Source organism: Homo sapiens, chromosome 15, assembly GCF_000001405.40.
Source record: "Homo sapiens chromosome 15, GRCh38.p14 Primary Assembly".
Taxonomy (NCBI): domain Eukaryota; kingdom Metazoa; phylum Chordata; class Mammalia; order Primates; family Hominidae; genus Homo; species Homo sapiens.
In genome coordinates this window covers 85,027,118-85,049,483 of record NC_000015.10, presented here as the reverse complement: position 1 = coordinate 85,049,483, position 22,366 = coordinate 85,027,118, and the positions used below count along the sequence as shown (strand labels likewise).

Below are 22,366 nucleotides of genomic sequence, written 5' to 3'. Positions count from 1 at the left end.
TTATGCTAAGTGAAATAAGCCAGTCACAAAAAGACAAATTCTATATGATTCCACTTACATGAGGTACTTGGAGTAGTCAAAATATATAGAGAGAAAGCAGAATGTGTTTGCTAGGGACAAGGGGAAGGGAAGAATGGGGAAGCTCTTGTTTAATTGATATATTGTTTTAGTTTTACAAAATGAAAAGAGTTCTGGAGATAGATGGTGATCACAGTTGCACAACATTATGAATGTATTTAATACCATTCAACCGTACACTTAAAACTGGTTAAGATGGTATATTTTACGTTATGTGTATTTTACCATATTTTTTAAAATCAGGAAAAAAGGAGACATCTGGTCTGTATAATCATTTTCTTTTTTATTTTATTTTTTATTTTTTGAGATGGAGTCTCACTCTGTCGCCCAGGCTAGAGTGCAGTGGCGCGATCTCAGCTCACTGCAACCTCCACTTCCCAGATTCAAGCAATTCTCCTGCCTCAGCCTCCCGAGTAGCCAGGACTACAGGCATGAGCCACCACGCCTGGCTAATTTTTGTTATTTTTAGTAGAGACGGGGTTTTGCCATATTGGCCAGGGTGGTCTCGAACTCCTGACCTCAAGTGATCTGTCTGCCTTGGCCTCCCAAAGTACTGGAATTATAGGCGTGAGCCACCGCGCCCGGCTTTGTTTTGTTATTTTTTAAAATCAACTTTCAAGTGCTTGAAATGGTCTGTATAATCATCATACTCTCACGGTACAGGAAGAAGGAAAGCAAGAGGCTCTGAGAGACCAGTTTGAACGATGAGTTTTTTGTTTGTGGCACCAGCACTTAATGAACAAGTTTAAAGCAATGAGCAAATGAATGAGACTGACCTATTGCTTGGAGAATGCAGTGGAACTGCTCAGGAAGAAGAAAGGAAGAAAATGACAGGAAGAAGAGAAAGAAAATCATTTTGCTTATGTCCTACAGTATGGGGCACAGTTTCGTAAGAGAAAGCAGAAAAAGCATAAACTGGAGGGATGCTGCTACTGCCACAATAAAGCAGGGTCAGAGAGCCACCTGGGTCCTTTATATGAATTGGTGTCTCAGTCTCTGACAGAATACTCATGAAATTTACTAAGAAGGATCAAATAGATAAAAAATAAAGTCTGAATGGAAAGAAAGAAAATATTTATAAATATTAGAAAAACATGATATACTAGGTTACCAGAAAAAAACCCTTAAAATATATTCCTAAAGTAAAAACTGTACAGTTTTTATCCTTCAACGAAGCAAACTAGGAATTAAAAACTTAAGTTTAAGCGACAACAAAAAATCCTGCCTCCTTAGAAAACTTAAAAATATTAACTCACAAAAGTAATGAATCAAAGAGAGATATGCAAACTATGCCTACAGTTAACTTGGAAAATAAAAGTGAATATTATGTAGTAAGACTTACAGGATACTACTGCTAAATTATAATGAGAGGCAAAATCTATAGTCTAAAACCTTTTTGTCACAAAATAAGTACACTAAGCTTTCAAATCATTAAGTTTGAGAAAATCAACAGTACAAACTTAAGGAAACCGGTAAGGAAAATAAATATAAAGACAATAATGAATTGTTTAAATATTAATGACCAGCATGAGTAAAAAGTATGTATATACATATTTACATAGTGTTGGTCACAAGCTGAGGGAAAAGATAAAAGTCTGGATAGCTCAGGGCAAAAGGCTCATCCCTCCTAGGTAAACAATCCTGAATATGTGGTCTACACCAAAAGCTGGTGAAATAACTTGATTTGTACAGACAAAGGACAGCATAAATTTATGATGTGAACTTATAAAAGTAACTCACCTTTGGATTTATTTTAAGAAATAAAGGCAGCTATGGGTTCACTTTTAAAAGATTTAAGACTATGAATTTTGCCACGTAAAAATTTTAGCAATATCATTTTAAAACATTCATGTTTCAGCAATTCCTTTTTACCACTGAACGCTTACTTTATTTACTTAACTAGATTGCATTTAACCTTACATCCTGTCTACGGGGTATATCCGGCTCTCAGGACCTCTATGGAGCAGAGTCTCCTAACAGCCGGACAACTACTTGCCACTGCTCCCCCCAAAATAACCACCACCAGGAAATCTGATGACATTACTCAGTGAGCAGACGTCAGCAGTGGGCCCTCAAAGAGTAAACAACTTCCTGACTGCTCTAGAAAAGAGGACTGGAACTTCTGGAATTCTTGTATCCATCCTTTCTTTATGTATGGAAATCATAATCAAACTGACCTAAGGTTTCAGGTCACAGCCCTCTTAATAATAATTTATTTTTCACATTAATATTTACAAGGGAATAATCATTTCAAATAAATTTAAATAGCATAGCTTTGATTTTATCTTTCAGCTTTAAAAGCAACTGACATTTTTAAGCAATATAGAAACAAAAGTATGTTCAATAGCTGATATCAGTAATTATACACGTTCTTAATCTTTTATACTTTTAAATATTTGTGAATGTATTAAGATTATTTAAAAAGGTTATAATATTAGGATATCAGACAATATGATGGTGTTGATTTGCATTTTAATATTGAAAAGTAAAACTTTTTGTAAATATGGTTTACAGATATATGAAACAAATTATTAGAAGTTTTGATTTCGTTTGCCTAACTGATCTAACATCATTTAGATGTGGTATTAGAAGGCAAAGTTATTATGTTACAAATCTTGATTAGGGGTGGGTGAGAAAGAAAATAGATATATAATTCCAACCTCTGTAAAATTTCTACTCCCCTCTACCCTCCCTATCCCTTGCCTGCTTTGTTTTTATTTCTTAGCTCCCAATCACCATTTGGTATACTACATATTTTATTATCTATCTTCTTTTTTGTCTGTTTCTCCCACTGGAATACAGAGTTCTATAACAACAGGGATTTACCTGCTTTATTCATTACTATATTCCCAACACCCAAAACAGTGTCTAGTACATGGTATTCAAAAAATATTTTGGAATTAATGTGCAGTCAACAGCTAATCTTTTTAAACCAATCATTTATCTAGAAATTATACTCATACCAGCTTATTACATAAATATATGTATGTAATACAGGACTTGTAGTTTTCAGAGTAATTTCATAGGTACTTTATTCCATTAAGAAACAGAAAGAATGGCTGGGCGTGGTGCCTCACGCCTGTAATCCCAGCACTTTGGGAGGCCGAGGCGGGCAGATCACCTGAGGTCAGGAGCTCAAGACCAGCCTAGCCAACATAGTAAAACCCTGTCTCTACTAAAAATACAAAAATTAGCCAGGTGTGGTGGGTGCCTGTAATCCCAGCTACTCAGGAGGGATTGAACCTGGGAGGCAGAGATTGCACTGAGCTGAGACAGAGCCACTGTACTCCAGCCTGGGTGACAGGGCGAGACTCTGTCTTAAAAAAAAAAAAAAAAAAAAGAAACAGAAAGAAGAATCTTACGAAGAGCCTAAGTCCTAGGAACTACAAAACAATCATATGATCGATCTCTTTTTTTCCTTCATCCTTTTATTAGAAACAGAAAGTTATCCTGGGGTCAATTTACATTAATTGTATACAAAACCCAGGAACTGCAGTAAAGACATAAATCCAATTTTGGTCTGAACCATACTATCCCTTCAGGCTTTCCATGTACAACCAGTGACCATCTGTTTCTCTCTCTGGACAAAGAGAAATAATGTGATCAAAGGGACACAGCCTGGAAAGAGTCAGGAGATACCAGTTCTTAGGTGTGGAAGAGTCTAAATCCAGACACTTGTGGACCACCTATTACTGTAAGACAAGTGCAGTGCTAGATACTAGGAGTACAAAGAACCTAATCCTGTCCCTTGGGTAGCAGGAGAGGAAAATGCAAATAACAACATGGTCCAGTCAGTTTTAATAGAAAAAAGTATCTAACACGTAAATACTTTGGATCCAATCATATTTAAGTCCAATTTAGTTCTTACCTTATGAGCAAGGTAAGCTCATTAACTCCATTTTATTGATGAAGAAGCTGACACTCAGAGAAGTATGGTCAAATAGTTGGTAAGCAGTAGTTGCAGGAATGGGACCCAGTTCTGTCTGAATTTAATTCCTGTGATCTTTTCATGCTCTATTAGGAAAAGTCTAAAATAACCTGGCCGTAATCTGTATCTAGCTGGAAAAAGATCAAGAAACTGGAAAACAGCATTTATCCTTCTGACAGATCTTTACTGAACATCCACTATGTGCCAAATGGTCTCCTAGGCATTGAGGATTCAATAGACAGCAAGACAGACAATATCTCTGATTAACAACAGGGAAAGATGTGATGGAGAGTAACTGAATCAGAGTCAAGGAAGGCCCCTCTGAGGCAGCAATGCAGGAGGTGAGATCTGAATGACAGGAAGTAGCCAACCATGCAAGAGGTGGAGGAAGGAGTACCAGGCAGAGGAACAGCTAGTGCACAGGACCTACAGTGGAAATAAGGTGGGACACTGGAGGAAACAAAGAGGAAGAAGGTCAAGAGATGAGGTTACAGCTAAGCAGGGGCCATACAAAGAAGGTCATGAGATGAAGTTACAGCTAAGCAGGGGTCATACGATGCAGAGTTTTCTAAGGCAGGACAAGACATTTGAATTTTATTCTAAATTTCATGAAAAGCCGCTTAAAGGTTTTATACAAAGAAGTGACATAATCTGATTCTTCTTTCTAAAAAAGATGTCTTTGGCTGCCAATGGAGAATGAACTACGGGAGGATGAGAGTAGAGGCAAGGCCAATAAGGAAGCTTCTGCAGTAGTCCAAACAAGAGAAGATGGTGGCTTGGCCTGGGGCCGGCCACAGAGATAAACAGATTTAGGATGTGTTTTGGAGAGAGTGATCAGGACTTGCTGATGGACAGGACACTGATTCCATCACTAAGATCCACTGATTCCTAGACCAGAGTTCTGATTATCTGATTTGCAGTTTTCTATCATTGTGGCATGGAAATTTGGGGCTCTGCAAGGCATCTTAGTAGCAACTGATGTGCATCTGCTTGGTCCTTTCCAGATCCACCCACAAGATGGCACCAAGGTCTACTCTTGAGGCAAAGTTCTCAGCTGCTTTCCCTGGTTCTTCTCCCAGACTCTTTATCTGTCCCCCACTGTCATAGTCTCTTTCCTCCCCCTACCTGTTCCTGATTTTCCCATCAGTCGATTTAAACAGTAAATATTTACTGTGAACCTTGTGTATGTTACCCTGACTGATTGCAAATTCTAGTTATATACTGGGGTGAAATCATGCACATCCTTTTTTCCCAAACCCGTAGTGTTGGGCAAAAAATGATATCCAGATTAAATAAGCTATTTCAAGTAGTTACCACAATGCCTGACAATGAGTAAATGCCCAATAAATTCTAAATATCTACAGCAAATATTTTCCAAGAAGCTTTTGCTATGAAATTATAATTCTATAATGCACATACATATTACAAGGCATTTTTTTAAACTGTATTTTTCCAAAGCACTATTTCTTTCAGAACACACTGGCTGGGTGTGGTGCCTCACGCCTGTAATCCCAGCACTTTGGGAGGCCAAGGTGGGTGGATCACAAGGTCAGGAGTTCGAGACCAGCCTGGCCAATATGGTGAAACCCTGTCTCTACTAAAAATACCAAAAATTAGCTTGGCGTGGTGGTGGGCACCTGTAGTCCCAGCTACTCAGGAGGCTGAGGCAGGAGAATCACCTGAACCCGGGAGGCAGAGGTTGCAGTGTGCCAAGATCACACGACTGCACTCCAGCCTGGGCGACAGAGTAAGACCCTGCCTCAAAAAAACAAACAAACAAACAAACAAACAAACAAAAAACCATTAATTTCATGATACCTTGAAATACTGTACAAAGTAGGATCTAGTTCTTAAATATCGTATTAACGTATTAAATACAGGGGACAAATGTAAGTTTTCCCGAAATGTTAAAATTACCTTTGAAAGTAAAACTAGTAAGAATTAACCCATAGAAAAATGAGAATAGTCAACTATAGGAGAGATAACCCAATCCGAGATCTTCTTCAAACATGTCACTGAGATCTGAGGATCCTCAAATCCAATGTGGCAATCTGAGGTATAAAATCATGGAGGCCAGACTAGAATCTACCTCTTCCCTCCACCCTCCCAAAAGACAAAACTGATCACTTGCCTATTCATCTGTCAGAATGAAAAGGGGGGTCTACAGGCTGCCCCAGGGAGCAGGGAGCCAAAGGTTGAGAACTCAGTGCTATTTATTTAACTCCCTTCTAAAGAAAAACTGAATTCAGCAGGCATGGGTGATATGGATACCAAATCAATTGATTAACAAATTAGCAGCATGCCTCTCTCTCAGATGAATCTATTTCAGGAATATTTACATTTGTCAATCATGTTTCTGTAACACACTGTATATTCAGACAGAGAGCCTTGTCTGGAGGTTCTACAGCTGTTTGCCTGCATACCTGATCACTACTAGCATCCTGACTGCAAAGGCCAGCCTAGGTTTTATTGGGTTGGCTAATGAGCTTTAATGAGATTTAAGGAGATTACAATGAGAATGACAATCCACACAATCGAATTATCTAGAATCACCCACAGTTCCCATAACCCGTATTCTGGAGGTTAGACAGATATGGGGTTTGAACTGTGACCCTTTCTGAAAAACTGTGAGTTTCTTCACTTTGCTAAGCTTCACTTGGAAAATAGTGATTGTGAAGATTAAATGAGTAACAGATATGAAGCACTCTGTGCAGTACCCGCCACACAGTTAAGTGCTCCATAATGTATAGCCATTACTACTGGAAGTGGATGCACAACCATTCATAAAGCCCCTACTTTGGTTCTAGAACAAAGAAGGCATCCTTGACCAGGTAGGGAAGCTAAACATGCTATCTCTGTCATAGCTTTGGGTAGAAAGTGAGTTTTGAGACTGAAAGCTATCTGAAAAAAATCTGCAACAAAGAGTAAATTGTTAACCCCAGCCTCCTTCTTGTATTAAACCATCGGACCTTCTGAATGCTGTCCTCAACCTGAGGCTGTACTGTTAAAACCATCTCTTGGCTGGGCATGGTGGCTCATGCTTGTAATCTCAACACTTTGAGAGGCTGAGGCAGGAGCATCACTTGAGCCCAGGAGTTCAAGACCAGCCATAGCGAGATGCTGTCTCTACAAAAAATTAGCTGGGCACGGTGGTACATACCTGTAGTCTAAGACCAGAGAGGCTGAAGTGAGAGGATCAATTGAGCCAAGGAGTTTGAGGCTGCAGTGAGCTATTATTGCACCACTGCACTCCAGCCTGGGTGACAGAACAAGACCCTGTCCCCTCAAAACAAAAAACAAAAAAACAAAAAACAAACCTCTGAGTCTTCTTTTAAGAGGGCTATACAAGTATCTCAGCAACTAGCAACTGGCCTATACTATTTTTTATTAAAAAAAAAAAATTGGTTTCTTTAAAGTTTCTTTTTGGAATTTTACTACTAATTATGTCTAATTCTAAATTTCAAATAATCATCTCAGAAAAATCAAGGAAGTCATTTGCTTACGTTCAAAAGAAAACGGAACTTGGGGTTTCAGAGGAGAAACTACTGGAACGAGAGGTAAGTATATAGTAAAGGAACTAACAACATCAACAAAGAATGTGAGAACTCCTGGGGCAGATGAAGGCCTTCAGATCAAGGATGGGGGACATTAGGATGGGGATGGAGGTGAGGCCCCAGCCTTGGACAATCATCGCCTGCCCCTTCATTGCAAATAGCAGCAACAGCCCAGGCTGAAGGTTTAGGAAACCTAAACCTCTTGTAAGGGAGACCGTCTCTTCCTAGGGGTGCATCTTCCTAAGGGTTTAAAGGCAAAATCTTGACCAGAAGTTGTCTGGTGTTTATATAAGAAAAAAATGTGTATTTATGTGCCCCAAAATGAATACATTTTTAACAAAATGGTGGGCGGAAAGTCTCAAATTATAATCCAAATACACTTGTTAGAACATCGTAGTAGTCATAAGTGCATAAACATTTTGAAAAGCACAGACTGTCAAAGAGGATGTGCATCTCCACAGCTGCTGGTGCAGAGGACATCCAGCACCATCCTCTGTGGGGCTGCTCTTGGCCTTCCTATGGCAGGTCACGAGAGAGCAGGCAAACGGTTCTTGTTGGTGCGTTCAAAGCAAACACTTGCTAATAAGCAATGTCTGATAACAGAAAATGATGTTTTAAGCATTTTACATCCTACCAGACTAGACTACTACTTTACTAAGTTTCAGTCATGCTGTAGGAAATAGGTTTGGGGTTGAGTTGACTTGTAATGAATCGTATTTTTTCCCATTAAAAGTAACAAGAAATTGCTTCTGGTTGACATTTTCATGTATAGCATCTGATGTTCAGGAACCAATTACTGAGGTTTGGCCTAAAATGCCTGCACTTGCATTACCCTACAACCCAGAAGTGATGAGCCTGGGCCTATTCACAAAGATCTGTAAGGGGACATATGAAAAGATGTCTGTCTAGGGTTATGTGTGGTGGCAGGGGGTTACGAGCATTCTCAGTATATCTAACTAGGGGATAATAATATGATGAATCTTAAAAACATGCCAAATTAAAAAAATAAAGACAATGAGATCTACAATACAATACCATTTACATAAATTAAAAATACATAAGCAAGGCCGGGTGTGGTGGTTCACGCCTGTAATCCCAGCATTTTGGGAGGCCAAGGCAGGCGGATCACAAGGTCAGGAGATCGAGACCATCCTGGCTAACACGGTGAAACCCTGTCTCTACTAAAAATAGAAACATTAGCCGGGTATGATGGTGGGCGCCTGTAGTCCCAACTACTCAGGAGGCTGAGTCAGGAGAATGGCGTGAACCCGGGAGGCAGAGCTTGCAGTGAGCCAAGATTGCACCACTGCACTCCTGCCTGGACGACAGACCCAGACTCCGTCTCAAAAAAAAAAAAAAAATACATAAGCACATAACAATATATACTTTAAATGAACACAGAAAAACAAAACTACATACATTAAACACACTAGAACAGGTGCCTAGAGAAGACAGAAAGGAAAAGGGTGTACATAATCAGAAATAAAACAAAAAGAGGAGACTTAAGGCAAAAATGTTTTTTCTTTTCTTTTCTTTTTTTTTTTTTTTTTTTTAGAGAAGAGGTCTTGGCTGGGCATGGTGGCTCACGCCGTAATCCCAGCACTTTGGGAGGCGCCAAGGTGGGCAGATCACCTGAGGTCAGGAGTTGAGAAGAGGTCTTGCTATATTGCCCAGGCTGGCCTGGAACTCCTGGGCTCAAGTGATCCTCCTGCCTCAGCCTCCCAAGTAGCTAGGACTATAGGCGCACACCATCACACTCAGCTTCTTTTTCTTTTTTTTCTTTAACATATCCATCACCCCAAATATTTATCATTTCTTTATGGTGAGAACATTTAAAATGCTATCTCTTAGCTATTTTGAAATATACATTATTATTAACTGCAATCTCCTTGCTATACAATGAACCACCAGAACTTATTCCTCCTATCTAAATGAAACTTTGTGCCCTCTGACCAGTGTATCCTCTTTTCCCATCTACCACTCCCCTACCCTCCAGCCTCTGGTAATTATCATTCTACTCTTTACTTCTAAGTTCAACTTTTGTATATTCCACATAAGTGAAATCATAGGGTATTTGTCTCTCTGTGCCTGGCTTATTTGACTTAGCAGAAAGTCCTCTAAGTTTATCCATGTTGTCACAAATGACAGGCTGAATAGTATTCCACTGCATGTATATATTGCATTTTTTAATCCATTTGTCTGTGGATCAGCACATCGATTGTTTCTACATCTTGGCTGTTGTGAATAAAACTGCAACGAACACAGGAGTACAGACAGACATCTCTTCAACACACTGACTTCAATTCCTTTGGATATACACTCAGAAGTGGGATTGCTAGATGGCATGCTAAGTCTATTTTTAGTTTTTTTTTTAGGAACCTCCATACTGTTTTCCAAAGTGACTGTATATATTTACAATACTACTAACAGCGTGTGAAGTTCCCTTCTCTCCTCCACATCCTCACCAACGTTTATTTTCCATCTTTTTTTTTTTTTAGACAAGATCTCACTCTGTCACCCAGGCTGGGAGACAGTGGTGCGATCACAGCTCACTGCAGTCTCAACCTCCCGGGCTCAAGCAATCCTCCCACCTCAGATTCCCAAGTAGCTGGGACTACAGGCATGTGCCACTATTCCTAGCTAATTTTTACTTTGTGTTCTATAGAAATGAGGTCTTACTAGGTTGCTCAGGCTGGTCTGGAACTCCTGAGCTCAAGCGATCCTCCCGTCTCAGCCTCCCAAAGTGATGGGCTTATAGGCATGAGCCACTGTACCCACTCTTTTCTTTTTTTTTTTTTTCTTGAGATGGAGTTTCGCTCTTGTTACTAAGGCTGGAGTGCAATGGCACAATCTCGGCTCACTGCAACCTCTGCCTCCCGAGTTCAAGCAATTCTCCTGCCTCAGCCTCCCAAGTAGCTAGGATTACAGGCATGAACCACCACGCCTGGCTAATTTTGTATCTTTAGTAGAGACGGGGTTTCTCCATGTTGGTCAGGCTGGTCTCAAACTCCTAACCTCAGGTGATCTGCCTGCCTCAGTCTCCCAAAGTGCTGGGATTACAGGTGTGAGCCACCGGCCTCAGCCTTATCTTTCACCTTTTTGATAACAGCCAATCCAAAGGTATGAGGTGATATATTTCATTATGGTTTAATTTGCATTTCTCTGATGATTAGAGGTGTTGAGCATTTTTTTCCATTTATCTGTTAGCCATCTGTATATCTTCTGAGAAATGTCTATTCAGGTCCTTTGGCCATTTTTTAAGTTACGTGTTTTCTTGTTATTAGTAGTTTGCGGTTCTTATATATTTTGGATATTGGCCCCTTATCTGATGTGTGATTTGCAAATCTTTTCTCCCAGTCTGCAGCTTGTCTCTCCATGCTGCTAATTGTTTCCTTTGCCGAGTACAGAAGCTTTTTAGTTTGATGCAATTTCATTTTTCTATTTTTGCTTTCATTGAGGCAAAGATTTCTTAACCAGATACGAAAAGCACTAATCATAAAGGAAAAGACTGATAAGTTAGATTTCAAAATTAAGAACTTTGGGTCATCAAAAGACCCATGTAAAGGAATGAAAAAGTAAGCCACGAAGTTGGAGAAAGTATCTGCAAAACGTAAAACTGACAAAGAGCTCATACCCACAATATACGAAGAATGCCTGCAGATTAGTAAAACACACACACACACACACACACACACACACACACACACCCCCCAATTGGAGAGAGCCTTGCAGAGTTAGATGACACTAATACGCAAGAGCTAAGAAGGATAACTCAATCTTCTTTTTCTGAATTCAACTAGCAAAAGAAAGTGAGCTCATCAACAATTTTTAAGTTTTAACAATTTTATTAAAATGTATGTCAGCAGGAAATTTGAACAGATATTTTAAATTTTGTAAAACGTAACAAATATGACTAAAGTATCTTCTATTTCAAGAGTATTGTTGGGAGAAAATGGAAAAAGAAGTGTTTGCATCTACAATTTGTATATCTACAAGGGGAAATGAGTTACTTATGCAACTACTACACAGTAGAAAGCTTTGTTTCCATAGAGATTATGACACAACTGATTTCAGCCTTAAATTAGAATATTCTGATTTGAATTGAGAAATGATCTTTTTGTCTAAATGAATAGTGTATTCAGTGCAAATAAAAGCTCTGCACATCTGCTGATATCATTTCCTCTTTACTTCAGTAATAATTAATAAGAAGAACACAGCCACACCAGTCCCAAAAAGGCATTCGTATCCCTAAAATCTCACAAATGAGGTTTGAAAATAAAGGGAATGACATATTTCTACAGGATATACAAAAATACTGGCCATAAAGAACCATCATGAAACATTTTGAAATATCTTTCTGCTCATTTCACATTATAATTAAGGCTCAGTTCAGTAATTAAAAATGATCAATTTAAATAAAGTTCAAATCAGGCAAAACTAATCTATAGTATATTTTGTGGGGTGAGAGGTAATCAAAAGGGAATACAAGGGCATCTCATGGGGTCCTGGAATGCTCTTTTTTAATCTGGATGGTTACATTTGCAAAAAGAAAGTGATCAGGCTGGGTGCTGTGGCTCACGCCTGTAATCCCAGCACTTCGGGAGGCAGAGGCGGGCAGATCACCTGAGGTTGGGAGTTTGAGACCAGTGTGACCAACATAGAGAAACCCTGTCTCTACTAAAAATACAAAATTAGCTGGGCGTGGTCGTGGGCACCTGTAATCCCAGCTACTTGGGAGGCTGAGGCAAGGGAATCCCTTGAACCCGGGAGGGAGAGGTTGCAGTGAGCCAAGATTGCGCCATTGCACTCCAGCCTGGGCGACAAGAGAGAAACTCCGTCTCCAAAAAAAAAAAAAAAATTAGTCCAGTATCTTAAGAGCACTGCAACCTTCATTTGAAGAAAAGACCTCTCTCTAATAGCAGGACCAGTTGCAGGGGCAGCCTGCCACTGGGGAAGAAGCTGGGGGTGGGGACTGTTCTATCTCCCTCACTTCCTCCCCAATCTGCTAGCTGCTGTTTCTGAGGCAGGGAGGACAGGAAAGGGTCAGAGAAGTCCCTGACCAGTGCTGTTAGAAGACGACTTCTCATTCTTGGGGCCTGATGGATGTTTAAAGCTCTTTCTCTAAAAAAGCATTTTTGTGATGTCTCTAGAGATTCTTCTACTGTGTCCCTCCTGCTGCAACTTCCTTTAGATGGGCAGCTGAGGCAGTGCCTCAGCTGGCTTTTCTTGGTCCTTTCTCCTTTTCTACCAAAGTATAGATCCCACAACCTTTACTGCTGGAGTCCTCTCAGCCTGATGAGCTAACATCTTGGGCAGGAACTCCTTAAGAATGACCCCAGGTCAACATTCTACCTGGATCCTGCATCTGCCCATAGCCAAAGTGTATGTGGGCTCATAGCTTTACTCTCTGAGCACTAATGTTTTGTTTGGTGGGAGGGAAGGGTTGATGTATACAGGTTCAAGTCCACTAGGCTTTAGGAATAAAGTGGCTCTGCTTCCTGGCGTATGTACTCTGTCCTTCAATGTCTCTAACACGGTCAACTACTGGGGTGTTTCCTGTTTATGCCCCCATTTTAATCATGGGAGCCTCTGAGACAGCATCACATTCACTGCTCAGATATATGCTGGCAGCCAGGGTCTTTGAATTGATGTAGAATAGAGTAGTACCAAGAGGAAGCAGGAAGAAGACAGGGAATGCAGTACCTGACTGCTGTTAAAAGTAGCATCCACATAAACAGAGGAATTTGGATGGCTGCCAGGGTTAATGAGGAGTGGACCATGAGGAAGGCAGTTAAGTCTTCCCATTTTCTATCAAATTGCCAAGGGTGATATTCCTGTTTTAAAATATGTTTTTCAATCCAGTTCCATAACTTCTAAATATGTGCCCCACTAGGACTGTTTTTTGGTGTTGTCAGTTTCAACCTCAGATCTGCTGAAAATTTGGAAAGGTGGCATTAGCAACTGCTAGATGTCATTTAAACTAGAATCTCCATGTGTGCTATTATTGTCTGTTACATATGCACACTATTTCCATGAAACCAAGGAATGAAGGCAGCTTTGGTTCTGAGGGTGAAACAAAGGAGAACATTAAATACACATATTAGGGGACCACATATTATGACACTTCAGAAAGTTGGTCTGTTTATATTCCAAGAACTTCCAAAAACAAAATATATTTTCCTGGTCCTTGAGAATAGCTCTTGAGAAAAGAACTTCCATCAAAAACTCCAACATAACTATTCAAAATAAATAATAATTTGGTCTTTCCTTTTTTAGTTTCATTCATTTATTTATTAGTTTTGAATTTTTAATTTTTTCAGAGGAGTGAAACTAATCACCTTAAACAAAACACTAAGTACCTTCACTATAGTTGGCTGAGTGGAAAAAGAAAATCACTTTAAAGTTAATACTCAGGGCCCGGCGCGGTGGCTCACGCCTGTAATCCCAGCACTTAGGGAGGCCGAGGTGGGCGGATCACCTGAGGTCAGGAGCTTGAGACCAGCCTGGCTAACATGTTGAAACCCCATCTCTACTAAAAATACAAAAAATTAGCTGGGCGTGGTGGCGGGCGCCTGTAATCCAAGCTACTTGGGAGGCTGAGGCAGGAGAATCGGTTGAACCTGGTAGGCGGAGGTTGCAGTGAGCTGAGATTGTGCCATTGCACTCCAGCCTGGGTGACAAGAGGGAAACACTGTCTCAAAAAAAAAAAAAAAAAAAAAAAAAAAAGGAAATACCCAGAGGTGAGGTCCTGCTCCTGCTGACCCCAAAGCTTCTGAAATACCAGGTTTTGAGTTGCTCAGAGAAACATATTAGTGGAATATAAGGTCCGACTTCTTGATGACCAAGACTGTTGTAACCCCAACTCCCATTTATATTTATTGGTATGTCAGGTATCTGTCCATTGTTTCTGTTACCCCTTGTAGAGGCTACTTTCCTTTGTGCATGTATTTTGATATTTAAGATAACTGATATTTTGTCTAATGGTCACTTATTTATAAATATCTATCAACCTTTATTTATTTAGATAGTATCTATTTAACCCCCATGAAAATGATGAAATTAAAATATTTCTGGGCCAGGTTTCATGGCTCATGCCTGTAATCCCAACACTTTGGGAAGCCAAGGTGAGAGGTTCACTTGAACCCAGGAGGAGTTCAAGACCAGCCTAGGCAACATAGTGAGACCCTGTCTCTAAAATTAGTAAAACTAAATAAATAAAATATTTTCTTCTCCTGCACCATTCTTTTGCTAACCTATTTTAGTCAGTTATATTAACTCTTACTGTTTAGCTTTGTAGCTGTAAATAGACCCTATACCTCTATTAGTTCATTGTCAGCTTTACATGGTACCCTTTGAACCTTAGCTATTAACGATGAGGGAACAGCACTCTTACTTTACCTACAATCTTCTTTCCCCTCTCCTCCCACAGGTGGTTAGTTATATGACCACACACCGTCAGGTCATATAACCTTTACATTCTGTTCTACTGTATCAATCTCCACATTTGTTTTAACCTACAGTTAGAGGGTCAACACTCATTGCCATCTACTTTGCTGTAGTTTTTCCAGTTATCTCTTGGTGGACTGAAGTTTATCTTCGACTAGATTCCAAGAAGCGTTCACGAGAATATTCTTTCTTGATTTCTAACATAGAAAAATGCATTTGTTGTTTTTATATTTAAAAAACAATTTCATTGAATATAAAATCCTTGAGTCACACTGACTTTCCTTACGGAGTTTCTCACTGTTGCTCCAGTGTCCTCCCATGATCGTTAATAATACGGAGGAGTCAAAATTTCTCCTTTACTAAGTGACTTGATCTTTTGGCCTGGCTGCCTGAATGATTCTTTACATTTAAAATCTAATAACCCTACTGGGAGATGTTGCAAGGCTGGCCACTCTATGTTAATTTTTCCAGAACACAGTGTGTCTTTTCAAACTGTAGATTCAAGCTTTCTCTTATTTCTGGAAACTTCTTGATTTGTACTACAAAACTTTTGTTTTCTCCACTATTTGTTTCCTTCTTTAGGGAATTTTTGTGTTTTTGTTTTTCTTTTTTTGAGACCACGTCTTGCTCTATCGCCCAGGCTGGAGTGCAGCGGCACAATCTTGGCTCACTGCAACCTCTGCCTCCCAGGTTCAAGCGATTCTCCTGCCTCAGCCTCCCGAACAGCTGGGATTACAGGCGCCCGCCACCACGCCCAGCTAATTTTTGTATTTTTAGTAGAGACGGGGTTTCACCATATTGGCCAGGCTAGTCTCGAGCTCCTGACCTCAAGTGATCTGCCCATCTCAGTCTCCCAAAGTGCTGGGATTACAAGTGTGAGCCACCACGCCTGGCTTGGACCAGCTATTTGAAGATTCATTTGGGAGAGGAGCCAGGGCCATATTCAGGAGAGTAGAAGTCTTCTTTCTTTTACTTGCAAGCCTGTGTGTATATATGCACACAGGGTTGGGGAAGGTATTCTTGAGCCTCTCTCCCCCATCAACCAAAAGCAAAAGGCAGCTGTGGAGCTGTTCACAGTGTAGTCTCTCCTTCCTGCTACAAGGTCAGACCTCTCCCTACAAGTACTACTTGTCTAAGTCCTCATTCAATCCAGCCTCTTCTGCATCCTGGAATCAAACTAACTGCAGGGAAGCTCCTGCCATCAGCTTGTGTGCTCATTTCCACTATTTCAAATGAAGCATTTGGTTTTGAATCCCAGGGTGTGTCCCTTACGTTGGAAAATGTCTCTCTCTTTTCCTGAGATCTGTAGTCCCAAGTGCCTTCAGTCTACTTCCTCTCATACCCTGGTTCAATCTTTGAAGAACTTATTCTACTCATTTTCTGGTTTGGGGTTTCAGATATCTCCCAATTTCTTCAAAGATGGAGTTTTCATTTCTGTTTCTTTCTCTCCTAGCTGCTGGGGATAACTTCCCTGGGGAAGATAGAAAAAGGCTGACTTTACCATGTTCAAATCTTAAGTTGCACTTTTTTCCTCCATAAACAAAATGGCTTAAAAAATTTTTTTGAATATGGAGTAACACATGGTCACTCCAAAATCCAGACAATATAGAAAGGCTGCAGAGGAAAAAAGTAAAAAGTGATTACCCGAAATCTCATTACCCTAAAGTAATCCTTATTAACATAAGCACATATTCTTTGATTTTTTAAAATGCATTTAAATTGACCTTTTCCCATGCATTTTTCCACTTAAAACTGAGTATTTTCTTGAAAATACAGATCTAAATTATAATTTTAATAGTTATATGATACTCAAGAGAACTTCCTTTTAACTAAGAGTATCATAAGACACTGAAATGTTTAAACTTTAAAATAAACAATCCCATAAACCAGAAGTCATGCCCCTTAAAGATCAAATTTTCCACATTTTAGTTTCCTTGTAAATCAGAGAAAATGAGGGGTTTATTCCACAGACTTTTAGAAATAGAACAAGGAAGTCTAGGTCTTTAAAAACTAGGTAACCAAGGGTTCTTTTTAAAAGTTACTGTTTCCATGACCTTTGTTCCCAGTATAATAAATACACTGTATTTTCTTTCCCTGGTTTCTCATTTACAAGATAGAGAAAATCCAAACAAAACTATCCAACTCTTATACCATGGATGGACAATATCTACAGGTTATTAATCAGGAAAAGGGTCAAGAGAATTACAGACTGCTCCTTTACATCTAGAGGTGAGCTTCTACTATGGTGTCAAACAATGGAATGTGTGCAAATTGTCTACTGTCTGTGAGTTTTCATTAAACTGTCTTTTCTAGTCCATTTCCTTAATTAACAGAGACTTAGAGCTATACAAACACTGAACCTCAAAGCTGGCTATGGCTGTGAAGTAAAGAGAGAAAACATCCTGTTCTTTCACTGAGCAGACCTTAGAGACAACTTTTTCAAAGTAACATCACCTATACAAATGAGCGAACCTCTACATGACAAAGCACTGGTGTGTGCCAGGGAACAAAACTCCTAAGTGAATGTTATTCGCAAAAATATTCCAACAAGTGTCTGAGGGTAACCTGCAGGTTAGGATATACCCCTTACAAAACTGGGCAACCCTGGATTCAGCAATAAGCAGTCAGACACAGGAAGAGCTGAAACTAGAGGCAGCCAGTAATCAGCCTCTAGCGATTTATGAATAGTAATCAGGCCGTCACCACCAATAACAGCATGTAACATTTGGATGTTTACTATGTACCACAGAACATCTTAATCCTCACACATCAACTCTATAAAGTAGGAACTGTTATTATTATTCCTAATTATAGATTTGGAAACAGAGAGGTTAATCTACTTGTCAGTCACACAGCTAGGAAGCAGGGGTGTGGACTGAGGGCTGTACTCAGTCACTGCATGGTATTGCTGCGTGTGCTATAAACAGCTATGGAAACTCAGAAGATGGTTTAAGTGATTCTGACTGAGATGGTCAGAAAAGGCAAGAATCAGGGTAGGTCTGGAGCAACAGGGCAGGACTCAGGCAAGCAGAGAGCCAAAGGTCCACGTGAACAAAAGCATACAGGCGAGGAGAGCAATGGCAGGGTTTTTGACGGCACACAGATGATGCTAATCCCAAATCTCCCTCACCTATCTGGTAAGATGGTGTTATAGAAACTACAAGACAAGCTATGTGAGAGACAAAGACATAGAAGTCTAGTCTTATCTCTGCCTCTCATCATTATGTGGCCTAGGCTAGTCACTTATCCACTCCAGGCCTCAGTCTAGTCTGCCAAATAAGAAATGTGATGGGCTATCAGATTCAGTTTTAGATAACATAGTAGCTTGTGTATTTTATAATTTATAATCTTCTAATATATACAGATTTCTTACAAGAAGGATATGAAGTTGGTATTAATCAGCAGGTTTAGATGTAAAATTGTCATTTATTCATTTCAACATTTACAAAGCACCTTTTATGCGCTAAACGTATACTGAGTACTGATGTTATAGAAATAAAAACATAAATCCCATCTTCCAGAAGCTAAATATAGAAGGATATAAAAATATAAACAGATAATTACAACACTTTGTGAATGTTTAACAACAGGAACTTGTAGAGAGTGTGACTGAAAAGTAACTGATTAACTCTGTCCAAGGGAAAAATCACAAAAGTTTTCCAAAGGAGTGGAGTGATGCCTGCTGAGGTTAAATCTTGAAGGAAAAGTAGGGCTCTGCCAGATAAGAAGAGGGACATGAACATTCTAGAAAGAGAAAATATTATGTGCAAAAAGGCATGGAAGTGTGAAGCCACCAAGCATGTTAAGGAATAGTAAATGACTAAGTATGGTTGAAATGGAGGATTCCACAGTAGATGAGGCTGCAGAGGGGTCAGGGTCAGATGACAGAGGGCCTAGTTGGGTCTCATCAATTAACAGTGCTGCAGCCAGGCAAGCACTTAAGTGCCCAGGAACAAATACCAGGTAAAAACAATAAAACTAATTCCAGACACCAATAGCTCTCAGGTTTTTAGAGCTGCTCCTACATTCCTCACTCTGATTATGCTTAGCACTGGAAGTGAGTGACTAATTCTCACTTCTCACAGGAAAAGGAAACTAGTGACTGTGGCTGGGAGACAAAGAGGCTGTGGCTAGGAGATCATACCAAACTGGGCCAGATTCAATGGAGGCTACGGGGGCAAGACACAACCTCAGGTTCCAGGAACTGAAGATATTCCACAAGCAGGAGACAAAACTCAGGCAGAATCATACCCTCTGTTTTCAACACTTCTAGGAATTTACAAAAAGAAAGAGAAATAAAATGGTTGTGGGACTCTAATTTAGAGTACAGCTAGAGCTGACCTATGGAAGTAACCAAAGGGAGGTTGGAGCTCAATGCAAGTGAGAATTATGCCTCTAACAGCACCTGTTGGTCACATTCTCAACATCATTTTTCCCTTGACAGCAGTGGAAGCCACTAGATGTTCCTTCTGCAACCCTCTTTAGAACAGAGCAGACGCACACAGAACCCCTGGTCAGTGGGACCTGAGGGGAAGCCCGCTGGGGAGAGGTGGAGACTTCTTTCTCCCAGTTAAAAGAGTGTCCCCCTTCCCACCTGCCTTAGACATTGTCATATGAGTGACACTTGACTTCCAGACTCTAGACTTCTTATGTGAGAAAAGTAAGTTGCTTTTTAGTTCTGAATGCTGTTAGTTGCAGCTGAAGGGTCCTAACTGATACCATCTAACACTCAGAGATGAATAATGGCAGAATGTGCAGCTTCAGAAAAGGGTCCAGTCCAGCAGTGTCAGGCACCAGAAAATGTTTCTATCTCCAGGGTTTTATAAACTGTGTGTTACCATTGCATTTTCTTGTAATTTCACTCAGCGCCACATATATACAAATTCATGTAGAAAAGAAATAAATAGAAGTAAAATGTATATTTGGGAAGAAGATGGATATAAGGCAAACATAAGAGAGGTAATAAGCTCAGACAAAAGCCTTCAGTAGAAAATAGCATTGTCTCTGCAAATTTGTGACTGATGCTCCAAGTTTAAATAAAGTCATTAAAAAAAAAAAAAAGACCCGTGAGGACAAAACAGATCTGAAGGGGTCTGAACCAAATACAATGGCAGAAGGGAAAGGCATTGAAAACAGGAAAGAGATGTAAGTTTCCGACGGTAGCCAACACTAACTTATTGAGAAAATATATTTTAACAATAAGTTGGGTCATTAAAAAAATAGTCCTGGCTTCAGAGGATCCTACTACCTACGGTTAACATAAGAATATTGACAAAACATCGGCTATTATTAAACAAGAATTTCAGGGCTGGGCTGCCTAATGGAAGTATTAGCTATAAATAAAAATGGTTCAAAAAAAAGGAGAGGCCTTTCTTTTTTTACTACAGGCAAATAAGAATTCCTAAATGAAATACTAAATGCCCTCTCCAAAGTAGCTTCACATGGTCTTCAGCTTGACGAACATTTCTTTTCTTTACATTTCTCTCTCTCGACAGATTACTTTGTGCTGCCATCAATCCTTTTTGTTGGACTGCAATTTAACTCAATATTTACTGAGTCTTAAACATATGCAATGAAATATGCTGCATGCAAAAGAAGATTAAAAAGTGAGTTAGACACAGTGCTTAATGCTCTCAAGTAAACCACAGGTGATTGGAAAGGACAAGAAAAATCCACAAGACAGAGCAGATGGGAAGTCTTCATTGTGCTGGGAGGTGCTCGGGAGGGGTCGGGTGGGAGGTATTTGAGATGAGGATTAAAAAACAGGCAAGATTTTCAGAGGTAAAATGCTAAAGAAGTTAAAATGCAAATAAATCACCCAACTAAGAAAGCAAGTGACTTTTTTCTCTATCAAATTGCGAAATACAAGGAATAGATAACACTTTTGTAGGAGTATAAACTGGTACATTTGGGAAGGACAATTTAGCAGCACAAAAATTTTTTGTTTTCAAAATGTCCATGCTGGGCGGGCGTGGTGGCTCACACCTGTAATCCCAGCACTTGGCGAGGCTGAGGAAGGAGGATCACTTGAGGCCAGGAGCTCAAGACCAGCCTGGGCAACAAAGCAAGATCTTGTCTCTACAAAAAATAAAATAATTAGCCAGTTGTGCCGGCACACACCTGTAGTCCCAGCTACTTGTGAGGCTTAGGAGGGAGGATCATTTGAGCCCAGGAGTTCCAGGCTGCAGTGAGCTATAATCACACCACTACACTCCAGCCTGAGTGATAAGAGCAAGACTCTGTCTCTAATAAAATAATAAATAAAATAGGTTCATGCTCTGTGATTTAGCAGATCAAATTACATAGGTATCTCCTAAGGAAAATCATAACATTGTGTACCATGTACATATATATTCAAAAAAGATTTTTAAAAAATTTTAGGAATCATGATTACAAAAAAGATTTAGTTATATATTAATAGATGTTCACCACAGCATCGTTTACCACAGTTAAATGTTGCCAGCAACGTTAAGCGTTCAAATACTATCTCTATACAATGTAACACTATGAAGTTTTTATAATAGAAGTACATTAATTGACATGGAATGTGTTCATCTAAGTTTAAAAAGTAGATTTCAGAACAGTGTACTGCAACAGCCCATTTGTTTTTTAAAATGTATACATATCAGAAAAATGACAGGAAGGATATGCAACCAAAAAAAAATCAGTGGTAAATAATACCCTCCTCTACGTGGTAAAATAACAGTTATCTGTATTTTCTAGTTTTCTAGAATAAACATGTCTCATTTTAATAAGAAGAAATAAAAGCACAGAATTGTGTAAATTTCCTAACATACGTGAGCAAAATTTACCATTTAATCGCACTATTCCCAAAAATTGTTTTGCAATGCAGTGTTTTATAAGATGACAGTAAATGCCATTGCTCAGTCATCTTTGCACATTTCCTTGAAAGGGTAGGAATAACTAAACGCAGTAAGTCACAGCAAGGGGAGGAAGGCAGATTGTTTTGGCAACACACATAGCATGTCTTTTCTTGCAGACCCCAATCTCAGTATTTCCTTTTGATTTCAACACTGAAGGTAGAAAGCCTTTCCTGAGATTGCTTTACCACAGACACCACCTTGCTCAGGCGAGGTAGCTGTCTCTTTATTATTATGAATAGTTCTTGGGCTTCCAGATGGCTAAATATTTTCTGACTGTCTCTAAAAAGAAGTATGTCCTCTTCATTTCACATTTGTTTGCTACTCTAGGAAACTGACTGGCAAAGATTGGACTAAAACTTTAAGGAAGTTTTGACTCCTGGCCCAGACCACAGCCCATTCTGCAGCACACTGACTCTCCAAGTCTGGTCCACAGTCCAACAAGGCCTTCAGGGAGTCCTGGAGGGCAAAGAAAACAG

The 22,366-nt window shown here is 39.6% G+C and overlaps 1 protein-coding gene across 7 annotated transcripts in view, besides 5 other annotated features; it reads right to left on the bottom strand.

Moving 5' to 3' along the window:
* The window catches only part of PDE8A (phosphodiesterase 8A), a 158,676-nt gene that overhangs the window by 89,659 nt on the left and 46,651 nt on the right, over window positions 1-22,366 (bottom strand). The gene's annotated exons all lie outside the window — the stretch shown is intronic.
* Window positions 2,130-2,299: an enhancer, noted in NCBI's record as "experimental_41972 CRE fragment used in MPRA reporter constructs". NCBI's record gives its function as "activates a minimal promoter by MPRAs in K562 erythroleukemia cells, with activity observed for both the introgressed and non-introgressed 15:85590501 variant alleles {active_cell/tissue: K562}" and the evidence as "EXISTENCE:reporter gene assay evidence [ECO:0000049][PMID:34662402]".
* Window positions 4,948-5,027: an enhancer, noted in NCBI's record as "active region_10001". NCBI's record gives its function as "activates an Ori minimal core promoter by ATAC-STARR-seq in GM12878 lymphoblastoid cells {active_cell/tissue: GM12878}" and the evidence as "EXISTENCE:reporter gene assay evidence [ECO:0000049][PMID:35858748]".
* Window positions 12,720-12,779: an enhancer, noted in NCBI's record as "active region_10000". NCBI's record gives its function as "activates an Ori minimal core promoter by ATAC-STARR-seq in GM12878 lymphoblastoid cells {active_cell/tissue: GM12878}" and the evidence as "EXISTENCE:reporter gene assay evidence [ECO:0000049][PMID:35858748]".
* Window positions 17,963-18,032: an enhancer, noted in NCBI's record as "active region_9999". NCBI's record gives its function as "activates an Ori minimal core promoter by ATAC-STARR-seq in GM12878 lymphoblastoid cells {active_cell/tissue: GM12878}" and the evidence as "EXISTENCE:reporter gene assay evidence [ECO:0000049][PMID:35858748]".
* Window positions 19,156-19,225: an enhancer, noted in NCBI's record as "active region_9998". NCBI's record gives its function as "activates an Ori minimal core promoter by ATAC-STARR-seq in GM12878 lymphoblastoid cells {active_cell/tissue: GM12878}" and the evidence as "EXISTENCE:reporter gene assay evidence [ECO:0000049][PMID:35858748]".